At 37.7% G+C, this 21757-nt stretch overlaps 1 protein-coding gene across 22 annotated transcripts in view; it reads right to left on the bottom strand.

Moving 5' to 3' along the window:
* Positions 1-21757, bottom strand: part of VPS8 (VPS8 subunit of CORVET complex) — a 240449-nt gene that overhangs the window by 212034 nt on the left and 6658 nt on the right. For 16 of the 22 annotated variants that reach the window (NR_146113.2, XM_047447824.1, XM_024453426.2 and 13 more), the window contains 6 exons: positions 15796-16036; positions 14350-14418; positions 7762-7892; positions 5839-5932; positions 1835-1867; positions 829-883 (listed from right to left, as the gene is read on the bottom strand). Coding sequence is in view for 19 of the 22 variants with exons in the window: in XM_047447824.1 (XP_047303780.1) it covers positions 829-883; positions 1835-1867; positions 5839-5932; positions 7762-7892; positions 14350-14418; positions 15796-15948 (535 nt within the window). In the remaining 3 variants the exon portion in view is untranslated. Of the gene's footprint in view, positions 1-828; positions 884-1834; positions 1868-5838; positions 5933-7761; positions 7893-14349; positions 14419-15532; positions 15552-15795; positions 16037-16348; positions 16435-19848; positions 19874-21757 lie in introns of those variants that run through there. The other 6 variants (XM_024453428.2, NM_001349292.2, XM_047447822.1 and 3 more) reach the window with 5 other exon arrangements.

The following is a 21757-nucleotide window of genomic DNA, read 5'->3' as shown; positions in this document are numbered from 1 at the left end:
GCCACCACGCCCAGTTAATTTTATTTTATTTATTTTTTTTTCAGTAGAGACGGGGTTTCACCATGTTGGCCAGGCTGGTCTCAAACTCCTCAACTCAGGTGATCCACCTGCCTCGGCCTCCCAAAGTGCTAGGATTACAGGCGTGAGCCACCATGCCCGGCCACAAAAATCTAACAGTTTTTAAATTTAAAAAGAACAAAATATTCTACTCATACATTGAATTCAAAAGCAAAGAAGGTTTAATGAAACTATAGTCATTTAGTCTCATGTAGAAAAAAATGAGAAAATACAACTATCTTCTACTATACAAATAAAACTAGTTCTCTTTCAACCAAGAAAGCAATGTGATTACAGGCCAAAAAAAATTCGGTTTAGAGTGATTTACAATGGAAATTTTTTAAAAAAGCTTATTGTCAGTGAGAGCTCCTGAAAATTACTGAGAAAGCCTGTTTTCCTGAAGATCTTTTAGAATACCCATTACTGGAAGGTGATTCAGAATCAAAAATCCCCACCACCAACAACCGGAGGCAGACAAGATGATAACCCAAGGTTCCCTTCAACTTTATTCTTTTTGTCTAGGTTTGCAGAGAGATCAATAGATATGATAGCTTATAAATTCATGAAGAAGAAAATAAACTTGCAATAAGCAGCAAAACAAAGCTGTGAGGCAAATAATTTTTAGCTATAAAAATACTGACTGCTACTTTTCAAGTTTTTCTGGTTTTGTTCAAGAAAATCAAGTACACTATATAAACTGTGATTAAAGGACATTATAAAACCCAAAAGGACACTTAATATTTAAAAGCAGGAAAGCACTTAAAAATTTACCAAATATTAAAGCCAATCCATGAGATGTACCCACTGCTATCAGACTGGATACTGCCTGAAAACAAAAGGGAAGATTACGTTTTAAGACATTACATTAAGAATCTTGAAATAATCAGAGTTGAATTTGTTGGCCTGCCTTCCTCTAGGCACCAGATGACATACAAACTATTGTAAATAAGAAGAATTTCATCCAGGAGGCAAAACGGGAAATGAAACTCAGGACATTTTATTTCTGAGAATCCCTCTAAATTTACTCTAGGAGTAACACTATCAAAATATCATATGTTCAACATTATAGGCAATAACATGCCACTTAGCTTCCTCTAAAGCAACTTTCAAATAAAAAATCAGGGATCCAGGCAAAGTAAGAGGCACTTATGCTACCCAACCTAGAGCTTCCTACGAGGCATGGGGAAGAGATGAGAACACACTTCTCTAGTTTATCCGCAGGGGCCTAAAGCCATCCAAAGTGTTCAAAACTCACCCACTTCCTTACCAAAGACTGACTAAAAGGAATGCTAAAAAGGCACTGGAGGAAGACAAGAAGAGAGAGTACCAGCGTGCTTTCAATATCCCCTAGTTCTCTACAATACTGCAACAGAGTTCTATTTGGCAAGCCTGACAATGGAATCCAGAGCTGTTAAATGTACTATTTTCCACAAAGTGATCCTATCAAATGATGCTTTCCATTCCTTGTGGAAGGGGAGCCAAATCACAGAAGAAGCAAATTTACTTGGGCAGGGTAGTACTACAAACAAATAAACCTGGAGAAGGCTAATATTACTCCATTATCTGCTTCTCAAACAAAAGCCTAAAAAGTAACAAAAAATTAGGAAAAAAGAAAGCATTCAACATGGATAAATGTTAAACCTGATTACTGGCAGTAAAATGACTTGTGAATTTATTACCATAACAACTTATGTAGTATTTTGAACAATGTAATGATAAATCTAAGAAAACCCAATCAAATAGAAAACTTACCTTTAAAAAGTTAAAGTATACTTACAATTGCTGTAGGCAAGCCAGCATCTACTTTGTCCTAAATGAAATTTTAAAGAAAGTATTTGAAAAATATTCTCATTTTAAAACAGAAAATGGTATATGGCTCTTGCTTTACATATACTTGCTCCAAATCAATTTAGATTAGAGGTAGAACCTTTATTTTTGCCCCCAACTAACAGAAATTACAAAAGCTATATATCTCAACAAAATACAAAGGGCATGAAAGGGGATTGTTTTATTTTACTAAGTATATAAGTGCCTTTGCTAAGTAAGATGCCTCAGGGAGGGTACTGATTATAATGGAAATGCAAAGGAAAAAGAGGAAAGATGTTCCATTTTCTATACTTGAATAAACTATAAGTACTATGGGGTCAAAATGGTAGGAGTACATAAAGATTTGAGAAAAGTAAACATGTTAAAGATGTTTCTACTACTAAGTAGGACTTTCCTATCTACCAATTACCTAATAACCTCTAAATAAACCCCAACAGGGTATATTAAATCAGTTCTCAAGCATAAGAAATTAAAACATAAAGAAGTACTAGTCCCAGCTCCTTACCGGTAACTACATGGCATTTGAAAAGTCACCTAACTTTTCTGAACATTAGTCTCCTCATCTGTTCAAAGAAATAGCAAATACTGCACTGTTTACCTCAGTGAGCTGTCCTGAGGATCAAATTAAATGTGAAGAATCAAATAAATATGTAAGAGTATCAATTCTATGCTCACATAGCTTTAAATAACCCTAAGAGTTTGTAGTGATACAGTACTGTAGCAGCAAAGAGCTTGCGTATACAGATATTACACTACTTGATTCTCAGACCTAGAGAGATGTATAGAACAGGCAATGTTATTCTGATTTTCCAGATTTTAAAAACAGACATTTCCAAGAGTTTAACTGACTTGACAAAGGGTACTTGGTAAGTGGCAGAACTACATCTCAAACTCAGAGCTTCCAAATCCCAGGACAGGCTCCTTGTATCACTTACACATCTTCTTTTCTATGTCTGTCCTTGTCAGCGTGGTCAATTATTATCATCTCTCAGAAGGCAGACTCTACAGACTCTATTTAACAAACTCTGTAGAGCTTCCTGGGCACTCACTTAAACTTACTCCAGTACATGGAAACAGGAGAAAAAAGCAATGAGCAAGGCTGCTACACACAATGCTCTGGATAGCAGCATCTATCCAACTTTGAGTGTATATGTCTGTGTGTCAAACATGCCTAACATAATGCTCGACAATTAAGAAGCATGTAATACATAGTTAATAAATGACTGATTTGCATCTAGACAGGGAAAGAGAAATGAGACAGCAGATGAAGGTCAAAAACTCTAGTAAGACCTCACTTAATGTTGTCAGTAAGTTCTTAGAAACTGACTTTAAGCAAAACAACTTAAACCAATTGTTTTTTCTTCATTAACATTATAACAAAATGACATTGAACAAAATGATGTTATTCGAAGGTCTGTTCTATATTCAAAATAGAACCTGAATAATGGAATCAGAAGTCACCTGACTTCAAAAGCTAAAAAAAACACAGATATTAGGAAGCATTGTAGAGATTACAGAATTTTAGTACTGGTGTTGCAATATCTGAGGGTAGTGGGTCTCAAAAGTCAAAATGCATGGGAATCACCTGGGATGCCTGTATGCTCGGGATTCTGTAGGTTTGGGGTGAGCCCCAGGAATCTGCAATTTAATCAGTACCCTAGGAGATTCTTATACAGTGGACGCATTTTGAAAAAAAACACTACACTAAGCTATCTCTAGTATTTTCAAGTTGATCATAAAAATAATAAAGATCCTTAAAAAAAAGTTACTTTGAATTATTTTAAAGTATAGTCACATGTCATACTACTTTGAAAAGGATCCCAAATTAAAAAATGAGCTTCACAATTGCAAAAATTTCATCTCTCCAAGTGTTTTCCATGCATGAATCCCAAAACTGTGATCAAGGCCCCAAACAGCCCTAATAACATCACTAACCACATGGCTGAAGGCACTATTGAGCAATTATTCAGGGAGAAATATCCAAAAATATAACTAGCTTTACATGTTAATAAACCAACCATCACAGGAAAGCATGCAATTTAAATTGAGCTGGTAATCCAAAAATAGGAAGGCACCGTATGATGACTGTCACAGGAAAGGCAGTTTTCATTTTAACATACCAAAGGAGCTCAGCCATAGCAATCAAATAAAAACAGAATGCAAACACTCTGGGATTTATTAGAATTTCCCCTCCTCTTCAAGGGGAAGGAGAACTCCTTTTAAATAACAGATTTATCTAATCATTGTTCAGAGTCTGAGTTTTAGCTCAGTCTCCATTACTCAAAATATTTTTAAAACTGCACAGGTGGGTCAAATGACTGTTCTGGTTCATCTTGATTTTGAAAGGAATGAATTTCATCACCTACATAAGGATTAAATTCAGAAAACGTCATGGAAATGTAATCCTCAACAGGTGGTTCCCATTCTAGCAAATATGAGTTACTCTCCACCTAAAAGAGGAAGAACAATTGCCCAGGTTTCCTCTATTGCTTGAGCATCTCTCTATTTAAATTCACTTCATGATATATGAGCTAGGTCAGGATACCCCAATTGTTATAGTAAATACTTTTGTTGTTGTTGTTGTTATTTGCACTAAGGGCTTTTTCTGATAAACCTGAACATTGAAGTGCAATTGTGGTATCTTGTAATTCTGTATCAATCTCTCATCCTCTTGAAAAATCCAAACTTGGCTGGACGAGGTGGCTCATGCCTGTAATCCTAGCACTTTGGGAGGCTGAGGCGGGCGGATCACAAGGTCAGGAGATCGAGACCATCCTGGCTAACACGTTGAAACCGTGTCTCTACTAAAACTACAAAAAATTAGCTGGGCATGGTGGCAGGCGCCTGTAGTCCCAGCTACTCAGGAGGCTGAGGCAGGAGAATGACATGAATCCGGGAGGTGGAGCTTGCAGTGAGCTGAGGTCGTGCCACTGCACTCCAGCTTGGGCGACAGAGTGAGACTCCGTCTCAAAAAAAAAAAAAAAAAAGAAAAATCCAAATTTTTATTTCTTGTCCAACTTGGATATGCAAAATGCCAATTAAATGCCCCAAAAAGAACATGAAAATACATTAAACTTCCTGGAGTATAAATCTGTCATTATCATTATATACAGAATCTGTACATTGTACTCAGAAAACCAAAATTGAAAGACTACATAAAACTATGGGCTTTGGGGTCAAAAGAAAAGTCTGATAGTGTCAAACGAAAAGTTCTGCTGTCTATGGACCATTAAATATCGTTTACATTAACCCAGTGCTCTACATAATTTTCAAAAAAGGCCACAGATACTCTGTTCCAGCCATTTTACACATTGACCACATTCACCAATGCCACCTCCATTTCACAATAGAGGCACTACACTTGAAGCCAGAAACCCCAATTTTGAATAAATGCCTTGCTACCTCCTAACAGAATGATCTAAGACAAGTTAATATCACCTTCCTGAGCCTATCTTCTCATTTGTAAAATAGAATACAGCTTTACCTAGTTTCCAAGTTGTAAGAATAAATGAAATAAGGGACATGAAAATACTTTTGTGAATTACAAAAAAAAAAAATCATTCAGTTGTAAAAGATTCTGATCAATCATTTCTCCATATGAAAAGAGAAAAAAAAAACAAGCACACAATCTCAACAAATACACAAGACGGCAACTAAATGAAAAGGAATTTAAAGAAAAGGCAAATAGTATTTATTTTAGGCTTGCTGCCATATTTCATTTAGGCACAGCCTAGACTCTGAGCAGAACTTTATTTTCATGGCTGCACTAATTTCTGTCAAGACGTGTAGCCATGTCTCATAAGTCAAAAATCATCACACAAAAACCATGAAAGCCAGATTCTATTTTTCTTAAGCCTCGGGCCAAGAGAAGTGCTGTATTTTGTTCTATGCTCATTCCTACTTCATTATGCCATTGCAGGTTACAAAGTTGAGGGAAAAGAACAAAATACTTACAGCTGCAGACACTATCTGGGCAGAAATTCCCTTCAAAAGTGAATGGCGCATAACTGATCCATGAAGTGAAAAAGAATCAGGTAATTTCTTCTTCCTGAAAAAAAAAAAGAAAAACATTTAAAAACAGATAAAAATAGTGAAAAGGAGAGGTCCCAAAGCTTTGAAAGAAAACACACACGCACAAAAAGCAGAAGACAACATTGTATGTAATTTGTTAGATCTGTTTTTTTTTCTTTTATTATTATTATACTTTAAGTTTTAGGGTACATGTGCACAATGTGCAGGTTTGTTACATATGTATACATGTGCCATGTTGGTGTACTGCACCCATTAACTCATCATTTAGCATTAGGTATATCTCCTAAAAGAGGTATGACGGATCTAACAATCCCACCTTAAAATGTATTAAACCCGCCTTGAACCTCAAAGAAGCACAAGCAGGAAAATGAATCAAATCACCATTCCTTTCTCACGATTCAAACTGCTCCATGCCCACCTTAGGGAATGCGGCAGTAGGTTCTCATGTTCTCCAGAAGGCTGCCTACAGAGCACTCCTCCGGCCTGCAAGTCTACATTACCCTACTGCCTTCTTACCCTTGCTCACCTTTCCTGTGCTGCTGCTTCTCCTATGACCACCCTCTCAATCTTCAACCACCTCCTCAAATTCCCCCTCTACTCATCCTCATACAAAAAGTAACTTTTAAACTTTTACCCAACATTACTGAGCACCTACTTTGTATCACTAGAAGTATGCTCTGGGAATACAAAAATAAGAAAGTCAGTTATTACTGTCAAGGATTTCATAGCTGAGGGGCTGAGAAGTAACTCTAAAGGATAAATGTTATATTAGAGATATGAATTAAGTGCCATATAAATGCAAATGAAGAACAGTTTAATTCTGTTTATTTGGGGGGCATTAGGGACAGCTATAGAAAAGAGAAGATGACTAATTTGACCTTGATGGATGACTAGGAGTTTGTCAGGCAAAAAGCACAGGCAGAAATATGAAGATGTAAAGGTGTACAGTGTGTCTGGGGTACACATACACAAAAGGTACAGACTAGGAGGGCTGAAGTGTGAGTGCTTAGAGATCAGGTCAAAACAGTAAGCGTGGCCCAGACTGATGCCATGCAGAGGAGTTCTGACTTAATTTTGCAGGCAACAAGATGATACCATATCTTTTAAGCAGGTAGTGACCAGATCATCAAAAACATTTAAGTTATCTATTTGAAGGACACATTGTTGAACAGGTTAACATATCCAGCAACAGCCCCTATCCCATAAGAGATAACCTAAAGAAAAGAACATTGACACAGGCAAAATCGAAGAAGAAGAAAAACAGATCACTTTATCAATATTAAAGTTACACGTGAATTCAATAATGTATTTATAGTATGATTCCTCCAATTCTCTTTCCTTTTCATAGTCTCTCCAAGAACTTGGAAGGTGAAAAGCAGCCCAAATTTAAGTTATTTAGGGTTAGAAGTCCTTTTCCTGAATTTTTAATCGTCTTTGTGATTCTCTGAACCCACTCCAAGAGCATGAAGGAAGGCTGATCTTAGAGAATGCGGATGACAGGGAGGTGCGGGAGGGTGGGCAGAACAGTAGGGCAGTGAACCAAGCTGCATGTTTCCACCACAGACACTGTGCCAGGTTTAATCTGTGCTTCCTCCAAGGGCTCTCCTGCTTCCAGAAGTCCCTGGCTATCATTATGGTTTCCTACCGAGAGTTCAGACTGTGGTCATAGCACCTACCCTTTTACATTCTTCCTTAATGGTACCAAAATTTTCAAGATATTATATCCCTTCTACTTCCCATGCAAGGCTTCAACAGACCATATTGTACTTTAAAAAGTACAATATTTACATTTGAAACAATTGAATACTTCAACTGTAAGCAAGTATGATTGACATGAATACCTACCTTTTTAAGTTGGTCCTGTCACCACTATCTGAGCTTGCCACAGATGAAGTATCATAGGAGTGAGAATCAATAGTATCAATGTTTAACAATGTAGGATCCTCAAGAATAAAAGACTCATCTTCATCATCAGTCTAAATTGGAAGAAGATAAATCAATACATTCAAAATCCAAATACTCTATGAAATGAGTCAGGCATTAATGGGTTTCTCCAGAGCACACAAGTGCTTATTTCTGCTTTTCGCCTCTATTCCATGCATTCTTATTGACCAGAAAGAAACCATACAGAATTACTAGTATTAAATTCTAGACAGCTATTTCTCTCTACAAAGAAGTCACCCCAAAACTTCTTTCGTGTAGCAGGAAGAAGCAGGAGCAGTATGCAGATTACTGTTAGCTGTAGAATATTTCTTAAAAATCAAGCTTTTACAGATGATTTAGCAGTTAACTAACAGCCAATGGCTAATTTGAAGAAAACAAACACCATCTGACTATAAATAGTCTACTATAAAAAAAAATGACAAGCAGACAGCAGAAAGGCATTCTGGGTAGGAAACAGTGCAGAAAGGCATTCTGGGTAGGAAACAGCACAGAAAGACACAGTGATTTCACAATACAGATTTTGTCCATGGGAAAAGTAGTAGTCCAAAATGTCTGGAGGATATAAGCAGAAGTTGGAGATGACCCTAGAAAGATAAGCTGGTACCCAAACCATGAAAAGCCTTATATGCCATTACACTAGATGGCAGCAGGGCCCATGTCTATCTTGTTCATCATTGTACCTCTAGTGCCTAGTATAATGCCTGACACATAACCAGTACTCATTTAATGAATATTTAGTATACTATATATAGCAGGCAGTGGGAAGGCAACTGACATTTTTAAGAAGTGGAAAGACATGATGGGAACCATGTTTTAAAAAGATAGGTGGGGCAGTATGAAGAATGGATGAGGCGAGACAAGAAGACTTTAAGGACCAGTAAGAGGGCTATTGCACTATCAAGGAAAAACGGGAGATCCCAACCTAAGAAGCTGCAGAAGAAGTCAACAGAGGGAATGATGAACACATTACGGAGAAAAAATCAAACGTCTCTGGTTACCATTGAAATGGGGGGTTGAGTAGGAGTACGGATGGGAGGAGAGGTAAGGGAGAAGTCACAGAAGAGTACAAGGTTTCCAGCTTCTACAACCAGGTAAAAGGTGACTCTACTCACTGAAATTAGAAAGCAGACAAATGGCAGATAAAGCAGGATGAGGAACTTGGCTTTGCCCAAGTTGATTCTGAGTGACAAACATCAGAGAACAATGTCTCACCGTCTCTTTCAGCTGCACTACCTTCTGCCTTACCACTTCCAATCAATGTACTTGAGAGATTAATGTCTACTCACTACCTCGATCCACTCATTACAAGCTCCTACCGACCTTGCTGATGCTACTAGCCAAATCCACTGGCCTGCTTTCTGTTAGCATGTTCTTGTTCTCCAGGCATCATTTAATCCTGTTGACCATTCCCTGTCACCCAGGCCGGTGTGCAGTAGCACAATCACAGCTCACTGCAGCCTCAAATTCCTGGCCTCAAGCAATCTTCCACTCCAGCCTCCAAGAAGCTGGGACTACAGGTGCATGCCACCACGCCTGGCTCATTCACTACATCTCGAAGCTTTCTTTTCCTTTAGTTTTCGGTACATCTCTCCTTCCTGGTTCTCCGCTAACTTATGTGTCCTCCTATTAGTCACATGCTAGCTTCTTCTCAGCCCAACCTTTAAATACGATTGTCCCCCAGGATTATATTCTAAGCTCTCATCTTCTCTTCCTACTTCATGGACTTCCTATTTGAGTAAGCTCATCCATATCTATAGCTTTAAGAACCATGTTATCTAATGACTCCAAAATCTGTGTCTTTAGCATCAACATTTCTCAAGGTTTAGGTCCAAATTTACCATTGCTTTCCAGATATCTCTACACATAGGTCTTCTAAAAAGAGGGTTAGGACTGGCAATAAGACATTATGTTGCTTAAGTGCTATAAAGATTGGAACGATTGCTGTAGGAAAAGGGAAGGAAATAATTCAGAAATAAATACAGCAGCATCAAGATCTTAAACAAGAGAGTCAATCAAAATGTTATTTGATTTTCTTAAAAAGCCTGGGGACATAATTAAAGAAAATGGATCAGATGAATTAAGCCAGGCTTACAGGATAAGTGAAAGAAAAAGTGAAGGGAAAAAAAGAAGTGAAGATGTCAAGACTGAATTTAAAACTACTGCTACACAGTAAAAGTATCAATTATCCCCAAACTGATGTGAAAAAAACTGCACAATCCTTTCAAATTTCAGCTGATTTGTGTGTGTGTGTGTGTGTGTGTGTGTGAACTGATAAACTAATTCTAAAACTTACATGAAAATGCAAAAAAATAAATAAATAAATAAGGCAATCTTGAAGAATAACATCAAAGCTGGAAGATTTTAAACTACCAGATATCAAGACCTATTATAAAGTTTCAATCACTAGAATGTGAGATCGAGGCAAGTATGGACACACCAATGGACTCAGATCCACACCTATATGATTACCTGATTTATAACAAAGGTGACACCAGATGAGAATACTCTTTTTAGTACATGGTGCTGGCTCATAGCTCACACTATCACACCCAAAAAAAATTCCAGATGAATTACAGATCTACATATGAAAGGAACAACAATGAAGATTTTAGAACAAAATAGGGTAACATCATCATAACATCAGAATTGGAAAAATTTTCTTAAATAGGACACACACACGCACACGAATGGAAAATTTTAATAAGCTGAACTATATTAAGAACTTGTGCTCCTCAAAAGAAACCATTAATAGAGTGAAAAGGTAATGTACAGAAAGAAAGAAGATAAAATATGTACATCAAATAAAGGGCTTGTATTAGCATATATAAAGAACTCCTATAAATCACTTAAAAAATAAAACGACAGAAGTGGGCTAATTATATGAAAAGGCAATTCACAAAAGAGATATTCAAACGGTCAAAACCTATGTCAAAGTACCCAATTTCATTAGTCTTTAGGGAAATACAAATTAAAATCATGATGTGATAGCACTACAAATCTTTTAAGAATGAAAGTGAAAAAGACAGAAAAATTCAAACGTTTACAAGGATATAGTAATCAGAAATCTCATATACTGTTGCTGGAAGTGTATATCAATACCACCACTTTCAAAAACGGTGCCAATATATACCAAAGCTGAATATAACTATACCTGATGACCCACTAATTCCCCTCCTAGGTATATGCCCAACAGAAATGTGTATAAAGCTGGGCACAGGGGCTCATGCCTGTAATACCAGCACTCTGGGGGGCCAAGGCAGGCAGATCACCTGAGGTCAGGAGTTCGAGACCAGCCTGGCCAACATAGCAAAACCCCGTCTCTACTAAAAATACAAAAAACTTTGCCACGTATGGTGGTGCATGCCGGTAATCCCACCTACTCGGGAGGCTGAGGCACGAGAATCACTTGAACCCAGGAGGAGGAGGTTGCAGTGAGCCCTGATCGCGCCACTGCACTCCAGCCTGGGTGATAGAGTGAGACTCTTGTCTCAAAAAAAAGAACAAAATGAAAACAGATAAAAACCAGAAATGTGTGTAAGTATGTACATGCCAAAACACATTAATAAGAAACTTTACAGCAGCACTCTTCATAGTAGTCAGAAATTAGAAACTACACAAATACCTATCAACAGTAGAATGAATAAAGGTATATTCACAAGGAATTTTACACAGCAATGTGAACAAATCTAAAAACATAATATTAAGGGAAAGAAGTCAGAAACAGAAAAGTACACACTATATAATTCCATTTATATAAAGTTCAAAGCAGGCAAACTTAATCAATGCTGGTAGAAGTTAGAGTAGTAATTACCCTGGGTTTGGGTACTAAAGGGACACAAGATGAGCTTCTAGGGTACTAGTAATGTTCGGCTGCTTTATCTGGATTCTGGTTACACAGGTTGTTCAGTTTGTTAACATTCACCACACTGTACACTTATGATTTGTGCACCTTCCTCTATGTATGATATACTTCAATGAAAAGTTCAAAAGAAATTTCTGGCTGCACAATCCAACAGCAGGATTGAAGTAAACCTAGGACTATTCTCAGAAACTGGGAGATTAGAAAGGGTCAAAGACTTGGTCTTAATGAGGCCAAAAAACAGTTTCAATGGAAGGAAATAGGGGAAAAAGGTTATAGTTAAAGAATGGAATTTCAAAATTAAAAATCTCAGAAGAAGCATAGTTTCAAAGGATGGCAATACCTAGTAACATTCTTTCATGTCCTAAATTCTGAGATCTAGGATGTCTCAGTAATCTCTAAATTTCTACTTTAAAAAGCATCGGCCAGGTATGGTGGCTCATGCCTACAATCCCAGAACTTTGGGAGGCCGAGGCCCGCAGATCACTTGAGGTCAGGAGTTTGAGACCAGCCTGGCCAACATGGTGAAACCCCGTCTCTACTAAAATATAAAAATTAGCTGGGCGTGGTGGTGGGCACCTGTAATCCCAGCTACTCAGGAGGCTGAGGCACGAGAATCGCTTGAGCCTGGGAGGTGGAGGGTGCAGTGAGCCAAGATCGTGCCATTGCACTACAGCCTGGGCGATGGAGTGAGACTCCATCTCAAAACAAACAAACAAACAAAAACAAACAAAAAAAGTGGATGTCCATTTCTTCCCAGTCTCCTTTAAGGTTGATATTAATGAACATTATAGAATATATGCATCCACATATCCTGAGAAAAGGTCTTATTTATGTTTTCTACTTCGGCCCTTTTCATTTTTCCTTCAGTCATTTTCTTTAGTACTCCCCACAGCCCCCTTATCGTCTTCATAATGGTCTACAATTTGAACTATGTTTTCTTCCACTTACGACTTGCCTGGTTCCCTGGAGGTGTAAAGTCTGGCCAGTTCCCAGCCTCATTTCCTTCTCAAGCACAGAGATAGTCATATTGCACTTTATAACCCCAACATCTAACACCATGACCCAAATACACTAGACACTCAAACTACTATTGAGGATGATAACAGTGTTATCTTCTTAGTAAACCACTAATGACTATACTTACTGTTACTCACAGATAAGAAAGTTGTTGTGCAGGAACAGTTTTCCTTCATTATGAACCACAGCTCATTCACATGAGCATTATTTTCTTTGCTGATATAATAATTTACAAACAAGGCCTTATACACAGTCCTCTAAGATTATTTTTATTTTACACTTAATAATTGAAATGAGGATGCAATTAAGGCCATTTTAACAAAACTGACTAAAATTAATCTTCTCACCTCTAAATGAAAGATTTCCTCTATATTAGAAAGTAAATAAAGGACATTTCACTGTAACAGAATATTCTTTCATGGACCAAAGCCTTCTTTATCAAAACTAAAAATGCTTAAGTCTTCACACAGAACATATAGGACACTTCTGAAGTTAGAACACATTCAAAGTTAAAATACACTCAAAGTAACAGCAACATCAAACTGATGTAAAACATAGAAATAAAAGCCATACAAGAAAAATAAAAGACATAATTGACAGAGAAAGTAGTTTGCATCCTATAAAGTGCTGCCTACAACCCTCACAGGATAGGCAAAGAAATAATAAAGACAGAGGCCCAACTCACTCGGAGCTTTGGTATACGTGGGCCTTTCTGTCAGGGAACTTTTGGGTCTTTATCTTTTGGAAAACATAACTGCGGATTTGAAATAGATTTATACATTGCAAGATCTTTCTCAAATTAGAAGCTAAAACCTCCAAGGGAAGTCTCAAGCAAGTTTTTAAAAAATGAAGACTGAGTTGAAGGGTTGTCAGCAGATGCAGGGTATATAAAACAGGCGTGCTTCACCAACCATGTCCTCTCACAGAGCCCCTTTAGAAAGCCTTTGATCTCCCAATTCAGAAAAGAATAACACCATTTCAAAACTCTGAAAAACTTTTCATTAGAAATGGTATTCATAAGATAAACTATAAAAGATTAGTTTTCTTCATGTAGAAGAGTGATGAAGCTTATTATAAGGTTGCAAGATGTTCTTTAGCGTCAGAGGACAAGCTATTTGAATATCAGTGGTAGAGACAACTTAACCATTAGCAACACATAATACAAACCTCAAAAGTGACATAAATTTTGCATCTCAATTCACTTAATAAAATATATTTTAAAGTCTGCCAAGTATTAGGCATTGTTCTGGGCACAGAGACCCTAAAGATGAACAAGAGATGGTTTATGCCCTTGAGAAGCTCACAATCTAGACTACTGCTGTCCAAGAGAACTTTCTGTGATGACGGAAATACTCTTTATCTATGCTGTCCCCTAGCCATATAGTAGCCACTAGCCACACGTGGCTATTGAGCACTTGAAATGTGCCTTGTGCAGCCAAGGAATTAAATTTTTATTTGATTATAATTAATTTAAATTTTAAACTGACACACACGACTAGTGGCTACCCTACTGGAAAGTGCGCATCTAGGTGCATGTATGATAACTAATCCAAAAAGTATTAAGATGAATGCCACACACAAAATGACAGTAATCATTAATATTCACTTACCTCATTTAGTATGCTTTCCAGTGTTGGAGGAGTATCAACTTGAGGAATATCAAACTCCTTGTCATCAATCTAAATAAAGAAAAAAAATAGTGCTCACAAAATGATGCCTTTCTGCTTATAATTGTGAGGGGTTTTAGTTGATTAAAACCACCATCAATTAAAAGACAAACTTACCACCAAAATGATCAACTCAAAAATCCACAGTAATAATCAAGTCAAGACTACAGAGTGGTTTCCTTTCCTATCTACACGTTCAGTTACCATCAAGGACATATATGCACTAACTGCACTATCCTGACAGCCCTTTCCAGAACACTTTTTTTTTTTTTTTGAGACAGAGTCTTGCTGTGATGCCCAGGCTGGAGTGCAATGGTGTGATCTCAGCTCACTGCAACCTCCACCTCCCGGGTTCAAGCAATTCTGCCTCAGTCCCCCAAGGAGCTAGGAGTACAGGCACGTGCCACCACAAGCAGCTAATCTTTTTTGTATTTTTAGTAGAGATGGGGTTTCATCATAAGGCCAGGCTGGTCTTGGACTCCTGACCTCAAGTGATCCACCCATCTCGGCCTCATAAAGTGCTGGAATCACAGGCGTGAGCCACCACGCCCGGCCTACTTTCCAGAAAACTTGTGTTGAAAGACTTTTGCATCTGCTTTCTTAAACATGACAAAACAACATCTAAGAAAACCCCTAATTTTCTAAGTTTAGACATAAGTCATAAGCAATAAGCAAAAGTCTGACATCACATTTCTTAGTTATTTCATAAATTATGGTGAGAGATAATTAGGTCAAGCAACATGCTGTTATTCTCATACTCATAGAAACCCATTAACATAATATTAAATCAAAGGGAAAAAAAAATGCTGTGCAAGATAAGGAACTACCACTGGCTCTGTGACTTTGAGAAGTCATTTACATAGCTGCATGCCAGTGTCTTCATCTATACAATGGATTATCAGAGTGTTGTGAGAGTTGTAAAGCTCAAATGACAACATGAATCAAATTGTTTCATAAACTGTAATGGACTATACAAATGAAGAGTAATGTTATCTCATAAAACTATACACGTGGGGGCCAAGAAGGGAGAACTGCTTAAGTCCAGGAGTTTGAGACCAGCCTGGGCAACATGGCGAGACCCTCTCTACAAAAAAATTAAAAATTAGGCGGGCGTGGTGACACACACCTGTGGTCCCAGCTACTTGGGAGGCTGAGGTAGGAGGATCACTTGAGCCCAGGAGGTTGAAGCTTCAGTGAGCCATGTTTGCACCACTGTACTCCAACCTGGACAACAGAGTGAGACCCTGTATCCAAAAAAAAAAAAAAAAATTATACACAGACTCCTATTAACCCATGCAAAAATGACAGACTTAGAGTCTCTGGGTCACAAAGCATACTCTAATCTACACTGGTTAAACATTATCACTTGACAGAAATTGAAATTTTTACCAGATCATTTTTGAACTCCAGTTCCTTGTCCATATCTATGTAAGAGAATTTTGAAAGTGAAGCTTCTAGATTGAAAGACTTATTCAGCTCTTCTTCGCTCGTCTTGGCACAGAGGCTCTGTTCCACATTTTCATGGTCTGGTTCATTTTCCATATTTACTTCTAATAACAGTATTCAGTCCATCAAAGCAAGTGTTTTTTGTTTGTTTGGCCTTAGCTCACGAAGACCTGAATGATTATCTCTTTTCAAAAAAAGAAAAAAACAAAAACAAAACAAAACACTATCATTTAGATTTCCTCCTTGTCAATTGGACATTCCAAAGACTTACTTGGTCAGATTTCACCTAAACATCCGATTGCAGGCAAACTGAAATTAACAGTGGGGTACAGGGTATGTTATTAGGAGAGGGTTTCAATGAGAGCATAAAGGAGGAACAGCTAACTTGGGCTCAAGGACTTTAGGAAGTGGCCCGCCACCCAAAGTCATGAAACTGGTGATAGTGATAACTTAATAGGCTCAGCCACTAGACCTGGTACCAACTAGATTTATTTACCTAACAGCATAAGGGTAAATCGGTGCCAAAAGCTGCAATTAATGCCTTCTTTACATTCCAAACCCCAGGGTAGTGCTCCAGTTCCCCTGGAAATAAGCATATAAACCAGTTTTGTTGTTGGCCTCTGCACAGGGCCACAGACGTCTCTGGGAGCTTAGCAGAAACACTGAGGATGAACAACTAGCTATTTAATACAACACGAGCAAACCTAAGGGTTCAGATCTATTAAAGGAAACAACAATGACCCCAAGATAAAATAACTCCATAGCCTACCAGAGATTTCTAGAAACAGAGCCAGTCACAGAGAAACATGGACATTTTCAGAGAGAAATGAAATACTAAAGAAAACTAGAAACTTATACAGCTTTTTATTATTTCAGAGCTCTAAATGATAGATCACACTTATATCAAAAATCACAGATAATTTGGTTTACTTGCAAAACTGTCATTTTTAGAAAGCTAAAATATACTGAAAACATTACTGTAAGTTTAATAATTAAGTCTGCTTTTAAATGATTTTACTTTGTGTTTCAATTAGGCCACAAGTGACCCAACTTTAAAAAGTCCAATTAGCTTTACCTGTTTAGGATAAAGCAAAAATATGAAAACAGAAACAATGCCCTAATAATAATAATAATAAAGATCATTTTGTTTCCTAAACTAGATGTTTTTCACAGTACCAAACAACTGGCAAAACTCTCAGTGCAAAGCTCTTTCAAACTACATACTGCCTTTAGCGTGTATAAACACCACTACCACCAACCCTTGCCCTGCAGTGAGCTTCTCTTAGTAAATTAGATTGTGTATGTTAGTAAAGATGGATTGTGCATGTTAGTGAAGGCAGAAAAAAAAGACTTGTAATTACTGAGCCACTTAATTTCTTTTAAGAAATGGAGTCTCACTATATTGTCAACGTGGCCTCCAACTCTTGGGCTCAAGCCATCCTCCAGCCTCAGCCTCCTGAGTAGCTGGGACTACAGGCATGTGCCATCATGCCTGGCTTGAAATAACTAATTTTTTAAAAAGTGAACTGAGATTAGTTGTTTTTAAACAATATGCTAAAAATTCACTGACAATTTTATCTAATGAAGCTCATTATTTTAGTACCTATAATTAATTCACTTCCTTTGATGTTTCATTTTTATCATATTAAAAGAAATGAATAGTTACCTTGTATAAATCATGGACTTATGAAACTGACTTTTCAAGAGCTGAAACCAACTTTTCTAGCTATTACACTATTTGGTATATTACCAAATACAGACTAATTTCTTTCACGTTACAGAAAATGGGTTTTCTATTTATAGGGTTGTGTCCTAATAAAACACACACTATCAAACACATTCCTAGAACACATAACTGAGGCCACTCTTTGCCTGGCAACATTTTAAAGTATCTTTCCAACATCAGGTTCTAAATATAGGGCTCCTTTTGCAATAACCCAAATGCAGTAGCAATACTAATGTTTATACTCATTTCTTCAAAGACCTTAGCTCATGACAAATTACTTTTTAATAAAGTCTTTCAACTCCTATTTGTACCACTAAGCAAAAAGGGTTGCAATTATTTAACAACTATTTACAAACATGCACAATCTAATTCACGTTCAGTGGTTCCTAAAGATAGTTATTAACTTTTATTCTTACACATTTTTCAAAAATAGTGGGAAAGACCATACAGGAAAATAATATTTAACTGATTTAATAATCTAAAATGTTTCATATTTTATCTCTTTCCAAAATAACTCAGAAAGGAAAACAATTTTTTCCAGCTCTTTTTATCTCATATCTGGAGTTATTAAGAGGTTCCAAGACCATGTAACAATTCAGCATCTGTGAACCCCAATATCACACTGAAGAAGTGTCAGGTGATCAGGCACTCCCTGAAGACATCATCCCACCAAGCTACCCTGCCCCATTTCTGACCTTCATTTCACTGAGCTCCTTTTACCAATGTAATGTGCTGGCAAAGTGGACAGAACACAAGCCAAAGAGTCTATTATTAGGTCTGCTGTTGTGGCCACTTTTCTTAGAAATGACCAGGAAATAATCACTTCTCCCCACCCCTGACCCCCCAAAAAATAAAATAAATAAATCAAGTCTGAATCTGGACTTTATGAGTTCCTATCTGTGACCTTGGTTAATTTGTTTACCTTTTCTGAACCTCTCTATTTCTATATCATTAAAATGGAATATTGTGGACATTTGTGTTGTTTGCTCAGAACAGCGTCTCTTGTTCTGGGAAGGGCTCCTTCAAACCATGTGTTCTCGTAGAGGCTAATGGTCAAAAATCCCTTAGTATAAGGGATTATGTGATAGCCAGAGTCTTTCACCAGGATTCATTAAAATGGAACTGATGAGGAAGAGATATTTCCATTGTTCTCTATACAATGAATAATGTGGCTGAGCAGATCCCACATTCCCCACCCAGCTCGCTTCTGCAGAAAAGAAATCATTCACTTAACACACACCTAACTAAACACTAAGCATCTGTCACTGGAGATGAACCTCTATTGATAGAACTTAGGTTCTAGGTACAGATTCTCTAGCAAGCATGAAACCTATCTAAAAAAACGAAGTAGAGGCCAGGCACAGTGCCTCACACCTGTAATCCTAGCACTTTGGGAGGCTGAGGCGGGTGGATTTCCTGAGCTCAGGAGTTCAAGACCAGCCTGGGCAGCAACACGGTGAAACCTCGTCTCTACTAAAATACAAAAAAAAAATTAGCCAAGCGTGGTGGCGTGTGCCTGTAGTCCCAGCTACTCAGGAGGCTGAGGCAGGAGAATTGCTTGAACCCGGGAGGCGGAGGATGCAATGAGCCAAGTTCGCGCCACTGCACTCCAGCCTGGGCAACAGAGCAAGACTCCGTCTCTAAAAAAAAAAAAAAGTAGAGAAGAAAGTTCTGACATTATTCAAGCCTCAGATTCTAGTCTTCTATGAAGTTAGCTCTGCCCATAGCCTTCTGGCAGTCTGGCTACATAAACCAACATATACTCTCCCAACTTCCCCCTTTCTTTTAGCACTTAAAATTGAGAGTCCTGGCTCTTATAAATGCAACTACCTACTCTGCAGGGCTCCTGTGAGGAACAAATGATATGATTACAAAGCATTGAGAATAATGTCTGGACATAATTTTCAACAGATATTAGCTATTACATTTAAAACCTCAAAATTTTCAAAGTTTTCTAAAGTTAAAGATTCTAAAACAAAATCCAGTATTTTTGTAAAGGTCTAGCCAGTGCTAAGCATATCAGAACGATATCCTGGATATCACAGCAGTTCTTCATGAGCTGAATGATAGGGGTTTTGTCTAAGACTAGTACAGCCCCCACCAAAGCAACAGAGACACTTAATAAAAACTTTAATTATAACAGAAGTGTCTTATTGTTACTAACTCATTCTAAAATCATGTTTTAGGTTTTTTTTAACATCAACATTAGTCTACACTTTATTAGTGAAGCCAACTATGTCCCCTTCCCAAGTTCCTCTTTTGTCACTTACCAGCAATTATTCCTTTCTTCATTTTAGTCAGTAAGTTTTTCCAACTCAAAGAGACCTGGTGAATCAAAAGGTCACCATGCTCAAATTTTTTTTAAAAGGAGAGTTCACATGAGCAGCTTCTGTGAATTTTTCAGAAAGTACCTAAGCTGGGAATCTACCAGTGGTAGGCAGTATGAGGGTATCCAACAATGCCAGTCCTAATCCCCAGAAACCATGAATATGTTACTTGATATGGCAAAAGGGATTTTGCAGGTTAAATTAAGACCTTGACAGGAAGGTTATTCCGGATGATTTGGGTGGGTCCAATGTAATCACAAAGGTCCTTGAAAGGGGAAGAGAGAGGCAGAAGAGAACGCCAGAGAAAGAGATGTGACACCATGTCACAGGCGTTGAACACGGAGAACAGGGCTCAGGAGCCAAGGATGCAGGCAGCCTCTAGAAGCTGCGAAAGACAAGGAAACAGATGGTCTCCGAGAGCCTCCAGAAGGACTGAAGTCGTCTTGATCTCTTAATTTTAGTGAGACTGGGGTGAGACTTGTGAAGTACTGAACTGTAAAATAAATCTGCATTGTTTTATACTACTAACTTTACGGTAATTTACGGCAACAATAGGAAATGAATAGACAGTGGATCCTTGAACAACACAGGTTTGAACTTCAAGGGTCCACTTACAAGTGGGTTTTCTTCCGCCTCTTCCACCCAAGACAGTGAGACCAACCCCTCCTCCTCCTCCTCAGCCTACTCAACGTTCAGACAAGGATGAAGGCCTTTATAATGATCCACTTACACGTAATGAAAAGCAAGTATATTTCCTCTTCCTTAGAATCTTAATATCTTTTCTTTAGCTTACTTTATTGTAACTAAATACAAATAACACACAAAATATGTGTTAAACAACTGTTAATGTTATCAGTAAGGCTTCTGCTCAACAGTAGGTAGTAGTAGTAAAGTTTTTGGGGAGTCACAAGTTGTACTCAGATTTTCCACTGGTTGAGGGGGTAGTGCCCTTAACCCCCGCATTGTTCAAGGGTCAACTGTACTAATAAATATAAGTTAATTTGTTTCTGGTCACATATCCAACATTCTGAAATATTAACCCTTACCTTGTGGGTTGGTGTTGCCCATGTGTTTATTAAGCAGGCCCTTCATTCCAATATATGCACCAATGATGGAATGCTTACTATATGATGCTTAATATTTCACTCTTGATACTGATCCTGCTTCAGCTATCCCTTAAATGTTATCCCAGTAAAAGGTTGATAATGAACCACTCATAAATTCCTGCTGGGATGCAATTCTACAACTAGTTCTTCACCCAACCATCATGTGAGCTAGTGTTTTTATAGTTCTTAAGAGGATACCATACCAGAGAGTACTTGCACATAACAAAACAGGCTTCATGATTTCTTAGTCTCTCTTAGAATGAAATCAGATTAATCTGATAGGAAATACATGTCATGGAATCATAATTACCCAGTATGCTGTCTCTTCTGAGTGCTGATAAATGAGTATTTTAATAGTTCAGACATAAGATTATCTGACATCTTGATAATTCTGTTATTTCCTCTTAATTGTTATTCCCAACCAATTAATAGATTCAAGGACCATTAAAAAAAGATATGCGCCATATAAACAGCAATGACTTAATTATGACACTGGCTAACTGAATAAGAACTCTAGAATGTGTGACCTATATTACGCCAAGTTAAACTTGCACCAGTTTTTTTTTAAGAGATGGGATCTTGCTATGTCGCCCAGGTTAGCCTTAAACTCCTGGCCTCAAGCGATCCTCCTACTTCACGTCTCCCAAGTAGCTGCAACTACCAGCCTGTGCCACCATGCCTGGCTTTTCACCAGTTTTCACCTTGGGAAACATTTATTCCTAACTGTTCTCAAGCTCCATGATCCT

The sequence above is a fragment of the Homo sapiens genome, chromosome 3, assembly GCF_000001405.40.
Source record: "Homo sapiens chromosome 3, GRCh38.p14 Primary Assembly".
NCBI classification, from domain to species: domain Eukaryota; kingdom Metazoa; phylum Chordata; class Mammalia; order Primates; family Hominidae; genus Homo; species Homo sapiens.
This window is presented reverse-complemented; position numbering and strand designations above follow the sequence as displayed.